At 48.0% G+C, this 16,053-nt stretch overlaps 10 annotated features.

Moving 5' to 3' along the window:
* Positions 10,342-10,842: an enhancer, noted in NCBI's record as "H3K4me1 hESC enhancer chrX:753798-754298 (GRCh37/hg19 assembly coordinates)". NCBI's record gives its function as "activates a minimal SCP1, AML or CMV promoter by ChIP-STARR-seq in naive H9 embryonic stem cells {active_cell/tissue: H9 hESC(naive)}" and the evidence as "EXISTENCE:reporter gene assay evidence [ECO:0000049][PMID:30033119]".
* Positions 12,629-13,345: an enhancer, noted in NCBI's record as "NANOG-H3K27ac-H3K4me1 hESC enhancer chrY:701295-702011 (GRCh37/hg19 assembly coordinates)". NCBI's record gives its function as "activates a minimal SCP1, AML or CMV promoter by ChIP-STARR-seq in primed H9 embryonic stem cells {active_cell/tissue: H9 hESC(primed)}" and the evidence as "EXISTENCE:reporter gene assay evidence [ECO:0000049][PMID:30033119]".
* Positions 12,629-13,816: a biological region, named in NCBI's record as "CNE5 enhancer downstream of SHOX". NCBI's record gives its function as "regulatory_interactions: SHOX".
* Positions 12,790-13,815: an enhancer, noted in NCBI's record as "CNE5 reporter construct fragment". NCBI's record gives its function as "activates a SHOX or beta-globin promoter in ovo in chicken limb buds, in day 2 and day 3 zebrafish embryo brain, skin, heart, fins, muscle, notochord and eye, and in human U2OS osteosarcoma cells {active_cell/tissue: limb bud | brain(d2-d3) | skin(d2-d3) | heart(d2-d3) | fin(d2-d3) | muscle(d2-d3) | notochord(d2-d3) | eye(d2-d3) | U2OS}" and the evidence as "EXISTENCE:reporter gene assay evidence [ECO:0000049][PMID:17200153, PMID:22791839, PMID:26631348]" and "EXISTENCE:transgenic organism evidence [ECO:0001131][PMID:21731768]".
* Positions 12,790-13,816: an enhancer, noted in NCBI's record as "CNE5 PCR-amplified transgene fragment". NCBI's record gives its function as "activates a beta-globin promoter in mouse E11.5-E12.5 neural tissue, especially in hindbrain {active_cell/tissue: hindbrain(E11.5-E12.5) | neural(E11.5-E12.5)}" and the evidence as "EXISTENCE:transgenic organism evidence [ECO:0001131][PMID:23575226]".
* Positions 12,883-12,942: a conserved region, noted in NCBI's record as "conserved region; CRCNE00011099 more deeply conserved sub-region". NCBI's record gives the evidence for it as "EXISTENCE:sequence alignment evidence [ECO:0000200][PMID:21731768]".
* Positions 12,955-13,119: a conserved region, noted in NCBI's record as "conserved region; CRCNE00011098 more deeply conserved sub-region". NCBI's record gives the evidence for it as "EXISTENCE:sequence alignment evidence [ECO:0000200][PMID:21731768]".
* Positions 13,169-13,455: a conserved region, noted in NCBI's record as "conserved region; CRCNE00011097 more deeply conserved sub-region". NCBI's record gives the evidence for it as "EXISTENCE:sequence alignment evidence [ECO:0000200][PMID:21731768]".
* Positions 13,559-13,618: a conserved region, noted in NCBI's record as "conserved region; CRCNE00011096 more deeply conserved sub-region". NCBI's record gives the evidence for it as "EXISTENCE:sequence alignment evidence [ECO:0000200][PMID:21731768]".
* Positions 13,756-13,805: a conserved region, noted in NCBI's record as "conserved region; CRCNE00011075 more deeply conserved sub-region". NCBI's record gives the evidence for it as "EXISTENCE:sequence alignment evidence [ECO:0000200][PMID:21731768]".

Raw genomic sequence — 16,053 nt, 5'->3', positions numbered from 1 at the left:
TTCTTATTTGCTTGCTTTCTTCCTTTCTTTCTTTTTTTCTTCCTTTCTTTCTTTCCTGCTTGCTTGCTTGCTTTCTTGCTTTCTTGCCTTCTTGCTTTCTTCCTAGATGGAGTCTCACTCTGTTGTCCATGCTGGAGTGCAGTGGTGCTATGTCAGCTGACTGTAACTTCCACCTCCTGGGTTCAAGTGACTCTCCTGCCTCACCCTCCTGAGTAGCTGGGATTTCAGGCCCACACCATCACGCCCAACTAATTATTTGTATGTTTACTAGAGATGGGGTTTCACCATGTTGGCCAGGCTGGTCTTGAACCCTTGACCTCAGGTGATCCACCCACCTCAGCCTCCCAAAGTGCTGGGATTACAGGCTTGAGCTACCGTGCCTGGCCAACCTCTCTTCTTTATAAATTACTCAGTCTCAGGTATTTGTCTGTAGCAATGGAAGAACTGACTAATACATCAGTTCATGTAGCGTCAGAAGCCAGAGAACCTAGAGACCACCCAAGTCCATTAAGTTTGTTATGGATCAGAAAACTGTCCCAGAGGCTGCCACGGGTGCATGTCGTGCTGACCAACTCAGAAGAAGAAATGCCACCTCTGGCGAGTATCTCCCACCATCCAGGGCAGAGTCTGCCGTTCTCAGCCCTATTCATATCTCTCATGCTCATTGATGTCTGCCAATGCACATACCCCCCTTCCTGCTGGAGAAAAGCCACAGGCAGCCAGATACCCCCTGCTCAGAAGGAAGGCCACCTAGAAGTGCAAAGATGCCTACGTTCCAAGGGACCCCACGCACGCTAAGCCCGTGTGCAATTTTGTGTAGGCCCATGAAGTTTGCACCTTTAGAGCTGCCAAAAAGCACCACTTAGAGATTGGTTTTTGGACAACTGCCCAGCAGCTCTGGGAAGTCCTCCACTGCCATAACTGTGAAACAGCCTGGATCTGGCTTCCAGGGAAGTGCTTTTCAATGTCATTTAAGTAATGGTGTGGCCGGCCGTGGTGGCTCATGTCTACAATCCCAGCACTTTGGGAGGCTGAGGTGGGTGGATCACCTGAGGTCAGGAGTTCGAGGCCAGCCTGGCCAACATCGTGAAACCCTGTCTCTACTAAAAATACAAAAATTAGCCAGGCGTGATGGTGGGCGCCTGTAATCCCAGCTATTCTGGAGGCTGAGGCAGAAGAATGGTTTGAACCCAGGAGATGGAGGTTGCCCTGAGCTGAGATCGCTCCAGCCTAGGTGACAGAACGAGACTCTGTCTCAAAAACACAAACAAAAACACACAACACGAAAAAATATTTTGACTCACTCCTGTCATCCCAGCACTTTGGGAGGCCGAGGTGGGTGGATCACCTGAGGTCAGGAGTTTGAGACCAGCCTGGCCAACTTGGTGAAACCCAGTCCCAACTAAAAATACAAAAAAACAGCCGGGCATGGTGGTGGGCGCCTGTAATCCCAGCTACCTGGGAGGCAGGAGAATCGCTTGACCTGGGAGGTGGAGGTTGCAGTGAGCTAAGATGGCACCACTGCACTCCAGCCTGGGCAACAAGAGCAAAACTCCATCTCAAAAAAAAAGAAAAAAGAAAGAAAGAAAGGGAAAGAAAGAAAGAAAGAAAGAGAGAGAGAAAGAAGAGAGAGAAATGAAGAAAGAGAAAGAAGAGAGAGAAATGAAGAAAGAAAGAGAGGAAAGAAAGAAAGAAAGGAGGAAAGAAAGAAATGTTGATACTAGGTAAGTAACAGAAAACACTCAATTTGCCAGAAGTCAAGTTTGGATAACCTTGGTATGGGATGGAATATTTTGTTCGTTTTGTTTGTTTGTTTTTGAGGTTTTTTTCTTTTCCTTTTAAGACAAAGTCTTGCTCTTTCACCCAGGTCTGGGTGCAGTGGCTCAATCTCAGCTCACTGCAACCTCCAACTTCCAGGTTCAAGTGATTCTCCGACTTCAGCCTCCCAAGTAGCTGGGATTACAGGCTCAAGCCACCACACCTGGCTAATTTTCTAGCATTAGACTCTTCCCATGCTGCTAATAAAGACATATCCAAGACTGCCTAATTTATAAAGCAAAGAGATTCAATGGATTCACAGTTCCACATGGCTGGGGAGACCTCAGGAAACTCACAATCGTGGCGGAAGGCACCTCTTCACAGGGCGGCAGGAGAGAGAAGGAGTGCCAGCTGGGGAAATGGCAGATGCTTATAAAACCTTCAGATCTCATGAGACTCACTCATTATCACGAGGCCAGTGTGGGGAAACTGCACCCGTAATTCAATTACCTCCACCTGGTCCCCCCCTTGACCCATGGGGATCATTATGATTCAATGTGAGAGATGAGTGGGGACACAGAGTCAAACCGTATCAGTCAATCATCTATCTATGTACAAATTCATCAATCATCTAGCTAGCTATCACCTACATAATATCTTTCATCTATCGTCTATTTACTTATCAATTATCTATCATCTCTCAATCATGTATTATTTACCTAGCTATTAATGTTATCTGTTATCTATCTATTGAATTTTTTTTTTTTTTTTTTTTTGAGACGGAGTCTTACTCTGTCACCAAGGCTGGAGTACAGTGGTGTGATCTCGGCTCACTGCAACGTCCGCCACCCAGGTTCAAGCAATTCTCCTGCCTCAGCTTCCTCAGTAGCTGGGATTACAAGTGCACACCACGGCACCTGGCTAATTTTTGTATTTTTAGTAGAGACAGAGTTTCACCATGTTGGCCACGCTGGTCTCGAACTCCTGACCTCATGTGATCCACCCACTTCACCTCCCAAAGTGGTGGGATGACAGGCATGAGCCACTGCACCCGGCCTGATTTTTTTTTTTTTTTTGAGACAGAGTCTTACTCTGTCACCCAAGCTGGAGTGCAGTGGCGTGATCTCAGTTCACTGCAACCTCTACCACCCAGGTTCAAGCAATTCTCCTGCCTCAGCTCCCTGAGTAGCTGGGATTACAGGCGCCCACCACCCCGCCTGGCTAATTTTTGTATTTTTGGTAGAGACGAGGTTTCACCATATTGGCCAGGCTGGTCTCAAACACCTGACCCCAGGCGATCCGCCCGCCTTGGCCTCCCAAAGTGCTGGGATTACAGGCGTGAGCCACCGCACCTGACTTATCTATTGATTATATATCCATCATCTATATATCTTTCATCTATCATGTAACTATCATTGACCTATATATTATCAATGTATCTGAGCTTCGACCTTCATGCCCATACTCCCATCATCCCTCAGTGTTTACACTAACATTCCATCCCCGCACATCTTTTCCAGCTGCATGACAAAGGTGCATATCCCAGGACTTCCCAGGCCAGCCATTCTGAAGTCTATATCCAGGGAAGTCCTCGGCCAGCCATTCCTAGTGAGGCTCTATCCTTTTTCAGAGTCCCTCGGCTTCCCCGTCTATGAAATGAGAAGCTGGACTAGATGCTTGGTAAACTCACTGCACCTGCTGCGACAGCGGCCCTGGTCACCATCCTTGCCCTCCAGCCCTTTCTGGTCATTTGCTCACTTGGTCAGCTCTTCCTGCCCCCAGTTCTGGACACCACTTTCAGGGAAATGGCCTGGGAATGCGTGGATGAAGTATAGACCAATATGAGTTGTATATCTTGCTTGTCTTGTCAGTGCAGCAAGCAAAACTCTAGCTATTGGTTCATCAAAGAATGAAAAAAGTCAAACGTCAAATTCCCATACAGCCCAGCCATTCTACTTCTCAACAGCTACCCAAAAGGAATGAAAACAGAGATATTTAACCAAAACATGTACATACATGTTCACAGCAGTGTTACTCACAATAGCCAAAAGGTGGAAATAGCCATGGTCCTCAGCTGACAAACAGAGAAACAGAATGTGCTCCAACCACACTGTGGAATATTATACAGCCATGAAAAGGAATGAGGCTCTGACACAGGCTACAGCATGGATGAACCTTGAAGAGATCATGGTCAGTGAAAAAAAGCCAGATACAAAATATTTTATCTCACCGGGTGCAGTGGTTCATGCCTGTAATCCTAGCACTTTGGGAGGTCAGGGTGGATGGATCACCTGAGGTCAGGAGTTCGAGACCAGCCTGACCAACATGGTGAAACCCCGTCTCTACTAAAACTACAAAAATTAGCCAGGCGTGGTGGTGTGCACCTGTGATCCCAGCTACTCAGGAGGCTGAGGCAGGAGAATGGCTTGAACCTGGTGGGTGGAGGTTACAGTGAGCCGAGATCGCACCACTGCACTCCAGCCTGAGAGACAGAGCAAGACTCTGTCTCAAACAAAAACAGAAACAAACAACAACAAAAAATATTTTACTGGCCTGGCATGGTGGCTCACGCCTATAATCCCATCCCAGCACTTTGGGAGGCCGAGGCGGGTGGATCACCTGAGGTCAAGAGTTCAAGACCAGCCTGGCCAACATGGTGAAACCCCCGTCTCTACTAAAAATACAAAAACTTAGGCAGGCGTGGTGGCGGGTGCCTGTAGTCCCAGCTACTCGGGAGGCTGAGGCAGGAGAATCGCTTGAACCCAGGAGGTGGAGCTTGCAGTGAGCCGAGATTGCGCCACTGCACTCCAGCCTGGGAAACAGAGCGAGATTCTGTCTCAAAAACAACAAAAACAACAACAAATATTTACCTCACCCATTATATGAGTCCATTTACATGAAATGTGTACAAAAGGTAAACCGACAAAGACAGAAAGTGGATTCGTGGTTGCCACAGGGGCTGGGGGATGGGGCACGGGGAGTCACTGCTTTGCGGGTACAGGGTCTCCATTTGGGGTGATGAGAACGTTCTGACTAGAATGCAGTGGTGTGATCTCGGCTCACTGCAACCTCCGCCTCCCGGGTTTGAGCTATTCTCCTGCCTCAGCCTCCCGAGTAGCTGGGATTGCAGGCGCCCGCCACCACGCCTGGCTAATTTTGTATTTTTAGTAGAGACGGGTTTTCACCATGTTGGCCAGATGGTCTCGAACTCCTGACCTCAAGTGATCCACCCGCCTCAGCCTCCCAAAGTGTTGGGATTACAGGCGTGAGCCGCTGCACCTGTCCATTTAGGATATATTATTTTTAAAACAGATTGAAAAAAATTGGCATGTCAATAAACATTCAATTTTTTCAATTTTTAAAAAGCAGTTGGGACTGGGTGCGGTGGCTCATGTCTGTAATCCCAACACTTTGAAAGATGGAGGGCAGGTAGATCACTTCAAGTCAGGAGTTCAAGACCAGCCTGACCAACATGGTGAAACCCCGTCTCTACTAAAAGTACAAAAGTCAGCCAAGCGTGTTGGCAGGTGCCTATAATCCCAGCTACTTGGGAGGCTGAAGCAGGAGAATCACTTGAACCCTGGAGGAGGATGTTGTCGTGACCTGAGCTTGCGCCAGTGCATTCCAGCCTGGGTGACAGAGAAGGACGTGGTCTCAAAAAAAAAAAAAAGAAAAAAAAAAGCAATCGACATATAAGAGGAGAGGTTAGTGCCCTCCAAAACTTGTAGCGTCTTCGAGGAAAATATCAAGGAAGGCAGGTTTTCAGGAAGCAAAGGCACTGCTTACCTTAATTAATGTACGCATGGATTGCTAATGAGACCTCTGCATCCAGGGTCTGTCCCAGTTCCTGTAATCTCATTTCCAGCTTGCCGGAGAATCTTTACAGGTGATCTCCATGATATTCTAATAACTCATCCTGTCTGCAGCCCATACACTGTATTTATTGATTTTCAGACTCAATAAAACCCTCTGGTCTGGGGCTATGCCCAATTCTCCCCTTCCCCCAGTATACGTATATATGTATACATATGTATGTATATGTGTATGTATACGTATATATGTATATATATGTGTATATATGTATATATACGTATATATGTATATATGAGTATATACGTATATATGTATATACGTGTATATATGTATATATGTATATACGTGTATATATGTATATATGTATATACGTGTATATATGTATATATGTATATATGTATATACGTGTATATACGTATATATGTGTATATACGTATATATGTGTATATATGTGTATATATGTATATATGTGTATATATGTGTATATATGTGTATATGTGTATATATGTATATATGTATATATGTATATTTGTATATATGTATATATATGTATGTATGTGTGTGTCTGTGTGTGTGTGTGTGTGTGTGTGTGTATATATATATATATATATATATATATGGAGAGAGAGACAGAATAGCTTTTACTGTTTAACCTTAAAAGTGTTGGTAGTTGTGGCCACGCATGGTGGCCCATGCCTGTAATCCCAGCACTTTGGGAGACCGAGATGGGTGGATCACCTGAGGTCAAGAGTTGGAGACCAGCCTGACCAACGTGGTGAAACCCCGTCTCTACTAAAAATACAAAATTAGCCGGGCGTGGTGGTGCATGCCTGTAATCCCAGCTCCTCAGGTGGCTGAGGCAGGAGAATCGCTTGAACCCAGGAGGCAGAGGTTGCCGTGAGCCAAGATTGCGCCACTGTACTCCAGCCTGGGTGACAAGAGTGAAACTCCCTCTCAAAAAAATAAAAATAAAAATAAAAAAATTGTCATTACTTGTTTTAAGTCCTGTTGTACCTGGAAAAAAAATTACTTTTAAAGGTATATAGTTTTCTTTCTGGTGTCTCTCCATTGTCCCCATAAATGGTGATTGGCTTTATTCCTGAAATTCTCCAGGGAATTGTGTGTGTGTGTGTGTGTGTGTGTGTGTTTGTGTGTGTGTGTGTGTGTACAGAATTTTTTTTTTTGGTGCAGTAATTTCCCTTTTTGTGTGTGCAGGCATTTCCCTTTCTCTGATTTTCTGTGTGAAAACTGAAGAAGGAAAGATGTCAGATATATGAGGCTTTCCCTAATCCCATCAAACCAGCATTGGCAATGGTTTCCATCTTTGCAACAATTTCTGTGTCTGTTGGTCCAGCCCAGGTGCACCTCTGTCCCCGCTAGGGTTTCCAGAGGCCAACGTTATCTCCGCCTCTAACCTTTTAATTTACACAAGGCATTTGAACCTCATTCACCCCAAGACTGCCCTGTAACTCCCTACTTTACAAACTGGGGAGTGGGGTCCCTGAGTTATTCTAGATCAGAACTCTGGATTCCCAGGGACTCCCATCATGGTTTATTGGTTTAAAATTTGGGGCATTCTGGCCGGGCGCGGTGGCTCATTCTTGTCATCCCAGCACTTCGGGAGGCCGAGGTAGGGGGACCTCCCGAGGTCAGGAGTTTGAGACCAGCCTGGACAACGTGGAGAAACCCCGTCTCTAGTAATACATATGTAACAAACCTGCACGTTGTGCACATGTACCCTGGAACTTAAAAGTATAATAATAATAAAAAAAAGATTAAAAAAAATTAGCCAGGCATGGTGGCCGGTGGCTGTATTGCCAGCTATTTTGGAGGCTGAGGCAGGAGAATCCCTTGATCCCGGAAGGTGGAGCTTGCAGTGAGCCGAGATCGCACCACTGCACTCCAGCCTGGGTGACAGAGCGAGACTCTGTCTCAAAAAAAAAAAAAAAATAGGTAAAAGGAGCTGTCATCCCAGCATTCTGGGCGGCCAGGGTGAATGGATCACTTGAGACTAGGATTTTGAGATCAGCCTGGGTAACATGGCGAAACCCAGTCTCTACTAAAACTACAAATATTAGCCGGGCATGGTGGCAGGTGCCTGTAGTGCCAGCTACTCGGGAGGCTGAGGCAGGAGAATCACTTGATCCCGGAAGGTGGAGCTTGCAGTGAGCTGAGATCGCACCACTCACTGCACTCCAGCCTGGGCGACAGAGCAAGACTCCATCTCAAAAAAAGAAAAAAAAAAAAGCTGAAAGAAATCCTGTCCTCTGTCTCAGCCCCAGTGAGAGGATTAGCAAGATTTTGTCTTTGAAGACCTCCAAACTTCCAGAGAAGTCTTCCAAGTAAAATATCCAAAATTCAGGTCTGATTGGAAACGTATGTTATCAATATTTGCAAATGCTTCTGCCCTGTTGGAAAATTCAAGTCCAAACAGGGCTCGTTCTGAATATCCCTGTTCACATCCAGTTATTGATCAAATTTTTCCCGGATTCGTCGACATAACCCTTGGGGACAGTCCCCTAAAACCACCAAAGGGGACATTCCCCTGAAATCATCAGAGTTATTGTACTGGGTTCAAATGCAGCTGTGAAAGAGAAGAGAGGGTAGTGAAGTTTAAAAAAAAAAAAATTCTGTATTCTACTCCATTCCCCAGGGCCCTCTCAAAATACACAGTATGCTTTTATTGATGATTGCTGAATTTCCATTTTAATAAAATAAATGGAGATACATGCGGATAATAGCTCTGTTCAATATTTATGAAGTGTCTTTTTAGAATAATTTCAGAAATTCAGTATTAATCATTACAACCATTACACTCCACGAGCATATAAATAACAAACGGAAACACCATTTACTTCTTGAAAACCTATAATGAAAAGCAGGTGAGGACCCAATTTCATGTTTGAGGAATTCATCCTTTCAGGGTTGGATTTATGGGATTCTAGAGAGACATTCTCGGCTTACCCTGGGCCCGAAATATAGGTGTGATAATCATAGCTTTCTCCCACATTGAGGTGAATAAGCGGTTTTTTATTTAAGGCAAGAAACGCCGTCCAGAATTTTTTTTTTCTTTTTTCTTTTCTGGCGAGGAAGCTGAACATTTGTCTTGCAGAGCCGAGAGCCGAGCCAGCCAGGTTGTTGCAGACACCCAAAAGAGAGAAAAAAATAGATAAAAAATGGGATACAAAAAGTAAAGGGTACTCGTATTACTGGAGAACTCAAAAAGCAAAAGCAAGAGGACGGAGCCCAGGGGAGAACCACGGCTTCGCGTGTCTTAACAGAAACACACTGGGCACGTTGGCTCACGCCTGCAACATCCCAGCACTTTGGGAGGCCGAGGCAGGCAGATCACCTGAGGTCAGGAGTTCAAGACCAGCCTGGCCAACATGGCGAAACCCCGTCTCTACTACAAATATGAAAATTAGCCAGCTGTGGTGGCAGGTGCATGTAGTCCCAGCTACTCGGGAGGCTGAGGCAGGAGAATCGCTTGAACCCGGGAGGCGGAGGTTGCAGTGAGCTGAGATGGCACCACTGGACTCCAGCCTGGGCGACAGAGCGAGACTCCATCTCCAAAAAAAAAAAAAAAAAAAACAACCAGAAACACATTCGGTGTGACTCTTGGACGGGCTTTTACGCGAAAGGTAAAGTCAGCCTGGTACCCAGTTCCTCCTGCCCTTCTGTGCACTGCTACACATGAGGAAACATCCAACTCATTCATCGAGGCCCCTGTGGATAACCTAGGGCCCTCATCCCAGTGTTTCTCGGCTTTGATCCGTGATCTCCTGGTGACTGACATCCTACGTCTGCCACACAAATGACCCCAAACCCAGAAGCTTTTACAACAAGAATTTTTCCTGTCCCAGTCCTGGCATCCAGCAGTCTGAGAAGAAGGTGTCTCAGGGCCGTGTTCCCTCTGGAGGCTGTAGGGGAGGGTCCTTCCTAACTCTCCCAGCTCCTGGGGGCTCCAGGCATCCCTGGGCTTGTGGCCGCCTCACTGCAGTCTCTGCCTCCGTCTCTACGTGGCCTTCTCCTCTGTGTCTGTGTTTCCTCTTCTGTCTCTTAGAAGGACATTCCTCATTGGGTTTAGGGTCCCCCTAATGCAGGATGATCTCATCTCAAATTCCCCCACTTAATTCCAACTGCAGAAACCTTATTTCCAAATAAAGTCCCACTCATAGGTAGCACAGGTTAAAACAGCCCGTGTCCGGCTAATTTTTTATATTTTTAGTAGAGACGGGGTTTCACCATGTTGGCCAGGCTGGTCTCGAACTCCTGACCTTATGATCCTGTCTCTTTCGGGGGACATAGTCAAGCTACCACCACAGCCAATGATCAGAGTTCTGCTGGCTTAGCTGCTTTTTCCAAAGGAAGACATTTCAGTTTCTACCCATGGAGATTTAGCTGGGGGTGGGACTACCTTTGACCTGGAATAACGCGTTGTGAAGAATTAAACCTCATTCCTGGGCTGGGCACCGTGGCTCACACCTGTGATCCCAACACTTTGGGAGGCTGAGGTGGGAGGATCAGTTGAGGCCAGGAGTTTGAGACCAGCCTGAGCAACATACTGAGACCTTGTTTCTACAAAACAGAAACAATTTAAAAAAATTAGCCAGGTGTGTTGGTGCAAACCTGTAGTCCCAGCGCCCGGGAAGGCTTGAGCTCGGGGAGGTGGAGCCTATTTTCCCCACACAGCGTCGGACTTCTAATTCATCCTCCTCCCGCACTCAGCAACTCCGCTTGGCTAATTTATTCCGGGAACCTCTGGCCACGACGGGCAGCCCCTCGCCTCGCCCTGACTGCGGGATCATTGCGTTAGCGACTCCCCTGTCTCGTTAGCGCACCTCCTGCATTGCATTAGGGCTTGTGGTCCCCGCCAATGTGATAAGAGACCCACGTATGCGATAGGCACATAGCTGATCGGATTTTGCAAATCACGTTACTGGTGCAAGGGACAGGTTTTCCTTCTGTTTAATGCCTCAGTCATGCCTGGTTGGCACCACTGGGTTCCAGCCTGGATGACAGAGTGAGACTGTGCCTCAAAAAAACACAGGAAAACACCTTGGAAGCCCTTGTACACATCAGCTCCCATCATAAGAAGTGTGTAGGACGGGCGCCATGGCTCACGCCTGTCATCTCTGCACTTTGAGAGGCTGAGGTGGGTGGATCACAAGGTCAGGAGTTCGAGACCAGCCTGGCCAACATGGTGAAACCTCACCTCTACTAAAAATACAAAAGTTAGCCGGGCGTGATGGCGGGTGCCAGTAGTCCCAGCTACTCGGGAGGCTGAGGCAGGAGAGTCGCTTGAACCCAGGAGGCAGAGTTTGCAGTGAGCCGAGATTGCACCTCTGGACTCCAGCCTGGATGACAGAGTGAGACTCTGCCTCAAAAACACAAAGTGCTTAGTACAGGAAAACACCTTGGAAGCCCTTACTCAGCTCCTATCATAAGAAGTGTGTAGGACGGGCGCCATGGCTCACGCCTGTCATCCCAGCACTTCAGGAGGCTGAGGCAGACGGATCACAAGGTCAGGAGTTCGAGACCAGCGTGGCCAACATGGAGAAACCCCAACTCTACTAAAAATACAAAAAACTAGCCGGACATGGTGGTGGGCACCTGTAATCCCAGCTACTGGGGAGGCTGAGGCAGGAGAATCGCTTGAACCCGCGAGGCAGAGGTTGCGGTGAGCTGAGATCGTGCCACTGCACTCCAGCCTGGGCAACAAGAGCAAAACTCCGTCTCAAAAAAATAAAAGATAAAAATAAAAAAATAAAAAGTCAGGAAACAACAGATGCTGGCGAGGATGTGGGGAAATAGGAATGCTTTAATACTGTTGGTGAGAGGAAAACAGGGAAAGTTAGAGTCCTGTTTTTAGTTTTTTGTTAGCTTTTTTTTTTTTTTTTTTTTGAGACGTAGTCTCCCTCTGTCACCCAGGCTGGAGTGCAGTGGCGCGATCTCAGCTCACTGCAACCTCCACCTCCCAGGTTCAAGCGATTCTCCTGCCTCAGCTTCCAGAGCAGCTGGGATTACAGGCCACAAACCCAGCTAATTTTTTGTATTTTTAATAGAGACAGGGTTTCACCATGTCTCTAGTCTCCTGCGATACTCCTGCCTCAGTCTCCCTAGTAGTTGGGATTACAGGAGCCAGTGACCACACCCAGCTGATTTTTGTATTTTTAATAGAGACGGGGTTTCACCATGTTGGCCAGGCTGGTCTCGAACCCCTGACCTCAGGTGATCCACCCACCTCGGCCTCCCAAAGTGCTGGGATGACAGACATGAGCCACCACGCCGGGCCACCCAGTGTTTTTATAAGAAAAAGCCATGATCCCAACCCCATTGCATTTTCCAAACACACATGAGCGGGTTTTCTTGAGGGGAGCGTTCACAGACTCTGCTCTCCATTTTCTACCCAGATGTTGTCAAACAATTTGCCGAGCACCAGAAGGTGAAGAATTTCCCACTGTTACACTGTGAGCTTCTCCGGAACTTTCCACAGCTCCGTTTTTTTTTTTTTTTGTTTGTTTGTTTTTTTTTCTGCTGGACACTCTACGTTCACACCTACGTCCCTGTTCAAATGCAAAAGAGATTCTTAACGGTCTTGAAACCCCGCCGAGCTTTAGGTGTGCAAATCTGCAGAGGAGGCCTCTGTAAGGCTTTGGAGAGATGGCTGAGGCCAGACATAAGCCTCTTTTCACCCCTAGAGCTTCCCAGATCTCCTCTGTCACCCCTCCTGCCCTTACGGGACGCAGACATTTCTCTCTGTAGGGTGGGGGTAGTTAGAACCTTTTTCTCTCTGCACAGTGGGGAGTAGTTAGCACCTTTATTCACGATCAGAGCAGCCGATTATCCTGTAAACAGCCCAGCAGAGTCCATCTGTAATTCGACTTTGCCACTGTTGGTTGGCTTTAGAGATTTGGCATGTCGGCTGCAAGACGTAGATTTTCAAAACTTCATTTTGAGGCGGTCGGATGACACGAGACCTCCTATTTTTTTTCCTTTATTTTATTTTATTATGATTATACTTTAAGTTTTAGGGTACATGTGCACATTGTGCAGGTTAGTTACATACGTATACGTGTGCCACGCTGGTGAGCTGCAGCCATTGACCTGCGGGTGGCTGTCGATGAACTTTGTTCGTAGGAGGCTCAATCCAATTGTGAGTGTCCCGTCCATCGGCCGGGCTGCAGTTGAGACGGATTGAAACCGATTCGGATCAATCATCCTCATCCTGCCTTCGAAGGCAGACCGGGGAGGGGGTGCTGGTGACCGGGGACGCCCGTGTGATGCTGGAGACACACGGCCCCCTGTTCCACATCTCCCGTGTGTCACATTAATTTCCACGTCATCCCGCAATTCAATGAGATGTGGACCCCGTGTCACCACGTGCAGTCCTGCTCATCTCCTCACTAATTCTCAATTACCGTAAAATGAAGCCATAAATCACGCAGACAGGGGATCGATAGGAACGTGGTTTTCCGGGTGATTGGCACAGCCTCCCCAAAGGTTTTCTGTAAGTTGGTTTAAGATGACCAGGTCCTCCGAGGGTGGGGAGAGGGGGGCGTTGGGGGTGGCCGGGACAGGCCTCTGCGTCCCCAGGCCTTGGGAGACCAAACCGAGGGACGTCGCCAATTTCAGCCCATCAGACATCCAATTCTTCTCCTTTTTATACCTGCTTTAGTAAACGAGTGACAAATTAAATTTCGCCACCCTATAGCAGCACAGAAAACCATTTTAATTTTTCATGGAAACTAAATCGTCCCCAGACAAATAGCCCCTTGATTCTATGAAAATAGACTGCCTTGCTTGGGACAGAAATACATTTGTGTCACTCTGGATATGCCTTTCTCTGTAATGTCATTCACCGCGGGCCGGTAAATGAGACGGCTGCCGAACACAATGGCCAGGAAGGGGCTGTCGGCTTCTAGGGGTTGGAAACGAGGGGAGGTGGTGCCCCCCTTCCCAGTGCAGGGAGGCGTCCTCATCACCCTGTTATTAATTTGCCGGCTGAGCTTTTACATTCATGAGGTGAAGATTGAAATGTAAATGAACCCCCCCCCCCACACACACACACAGACACACACACACACACACACACACACTCGTCAGCTGTAGCCAGGGCCCGGCCCACAGTGTCAGAGACTCTGAGAAGAACACGGAAAATACTGATCACTCAGAGAGATGAGTGCCCTGAGCATCCATCATCGGGGCTGGGAGACAATAGATACAATCGCTCCCGAGGGAGGCGTGGAAGGGAAGGTGACGATAAGAGGGCCAGGGATATGAGGACGATGTTGCTACCTGTTGTCCGGGAGCGAAGGTTGCTGTTGTCCTACCTAGAATCCTCCTCATCTCTGGCATTCTACGTGCCAGTATTTCAACAGTGACTTTTTTTTTTTTTTTTTTTTTTTTTTTAAATCTTGGCCGGGCTTGTGGGCTCACGCCTGTCATCCCAGCACTTTGGGAGGCCGAGGCTGGCGGATCACTTGGGGTCAGGCGTTCGAGACCAGCCTGGCCAACATGCTGAAACCCCGTCTCTACTAAAAATACAAAAATTAGCCGTGCGTGGTGGCAGGTGCCTGTCATCCCAGCACTTTGGGAGGCTGAGGTGGGTGGATCACCTGCGGTCAGGCGTTTGAGACCAGCCTGGCCAACACGCTGAAACCCCGTCTCTACTAAAAATACAAAAATTAGCCGTGCGTGGTGGCGGGTGCCTGTCATCCCAGGTACTCTGGGAACCGAGACAGGAGAATCGCTTGAACCCGAGAGGCGGACGTTGCAGTGAGCCGAGATCACGCCGTTGCACTCCAGCCTGGGCCACAGAGCGAGACTCTGTCTCAAAAAAAATAGTGCCATGTTTTGTTTTGTTTTTTTTTTTTAATCTCAATTTATCTCCTCCCTCAGTCCCCCGGGAAGCCGTTTGGAGGTTTTGGAGGTGTGGCGGCCACCTCTCAGTGCTGACAGATGGAGGCCCACTCGGCTTGCCTTGGGGAAACAGGCCAGGGAGTTCACTGGCTGAGCCTCCCCAGGGGCCTCCCCGGCTCACTAATGGTTTTTATGCTTTAATTGAGCAGCTCAGACTGTGTGTGGAAAAGCAAACAAAAGGCCCAGAAGGCTTGATCCGCAGCATTGAGTGAGTGCGGGTCAGGTTGAGTTGCAGGAGGGACTGGGGGGTCTGGGGGAACGAGGACTTGTAAACGGCTGTGGGGATGAGTCCTGGTGAGGGGTTCCCCTGCTCAGCAGAGTCACGGGGCCTCGGCATCTTCCCTTCGGGCCACAAAGGACAATATTTTCTGTTTTCTGCTTCCACCTGGACCTCCGGTGGATAAAGGGAATATACGAACGGCCTTCAGAGTTTGGGGCTGGTACTAGCTTAGGGGTTCAGCTTGTCTTTGGAGCTCCTCATGGGGAGGTGGGCAGACACTGTAGTTCAGACCCCAACCGTTCTCCGCTCCCCGACGCTGAAGACCCATCTCAGTGCCCATACGGAAGCCTCATCTCTCCACCTTTCCCCTCTTAGCGTGTTCGGCCCTATTGTTACAGGAAAAGCGTCCCGATCCAGACGGCAAGAGAAGGTTCTTGGATCTTGTGCAAGAAAGACTTCAGGGAAAGCCCGTAATGCAAATTAAAGGAACTTTATTAAGAAAGTAAATTGGGGCCAGACACGGTGGCTCACGCCTGTAATCCCAGCACTCTGGGAGGCCGAGGCGGGCAGATCACCTGAGGCCAGGAGTTCGAGACCAGCCTGGCCAACATGGTCAAACTTGGTCTCTATTAAAAATAGAAAAATTAGCTGGGCATGGTGGTGGGCATCTGTAATCAATAGCTACTCAGGAGGCTGAGGCAGGAGAATCGCTTGAACCAGGGAGGCGGAGGTTGCAGTGAGCTGAGATTGCACCATTGCACTCCAGCCTGGGCGACACAGTGAGACTCTGTCTCAAAAAAAAAAAAAAAAAAAAGGCCGGGGGCGGTGGCTCACGCCTGTAATCCCAGCTCTTTGGGAGGCCCAGGCGGGTGGATCACCTGAGGCCAGGGGTTCGAGACCAGCATGGCCAACATGGTGAAACCTGGTCTCTATTAAAAATAGGAAAATTAGCCGGGCGTGGTGGCTGGTGCCTGTAGTCCCAGCTACTCGGGAGGCTGAGGCAGGAGAATCGCTTGAACCTGGGAGGTGGAGGTTGCAGTGAGCTGAGATTGCACCACTGCACTCCAGCCTGGGTGACAGAGCGAGACTCTCTCTCAAAAAAAAAAAAAAAAAAAAAAAAGGAAACTAAATTGGTAAAAGAACAGCTCCTCCATAGACAGAGTAGGGCATTTCTGAAACTGAGAGGGGGAAGCTTCCACCGCAGATGCAATAGTTGTTTATATATAGGATAAAAAAATATCTTGGGGACGTATGCTCTGCTAGGAGGGTTTGTGATAAAGGATTAATGTTCTTAATTACTATATGTTGCAAGAATCAATATCATTATCTTTAAAGCAAAA

This window comes from Homo sapiens, chromosome X (assembly GCF_000001405.40).
Source record: "Homo sapiens chromosome X, GRCh38.p14 Primary Assembly".
NCBI classification, from domain to species: Eukaryota; Metazoa; Chordata; class Mammalia; order Primates; family Hominidae; genus Homo; species Homo sapiens.
This window is presented reverse-complemented; position numbering and strand designations above follow the sequence as displayed.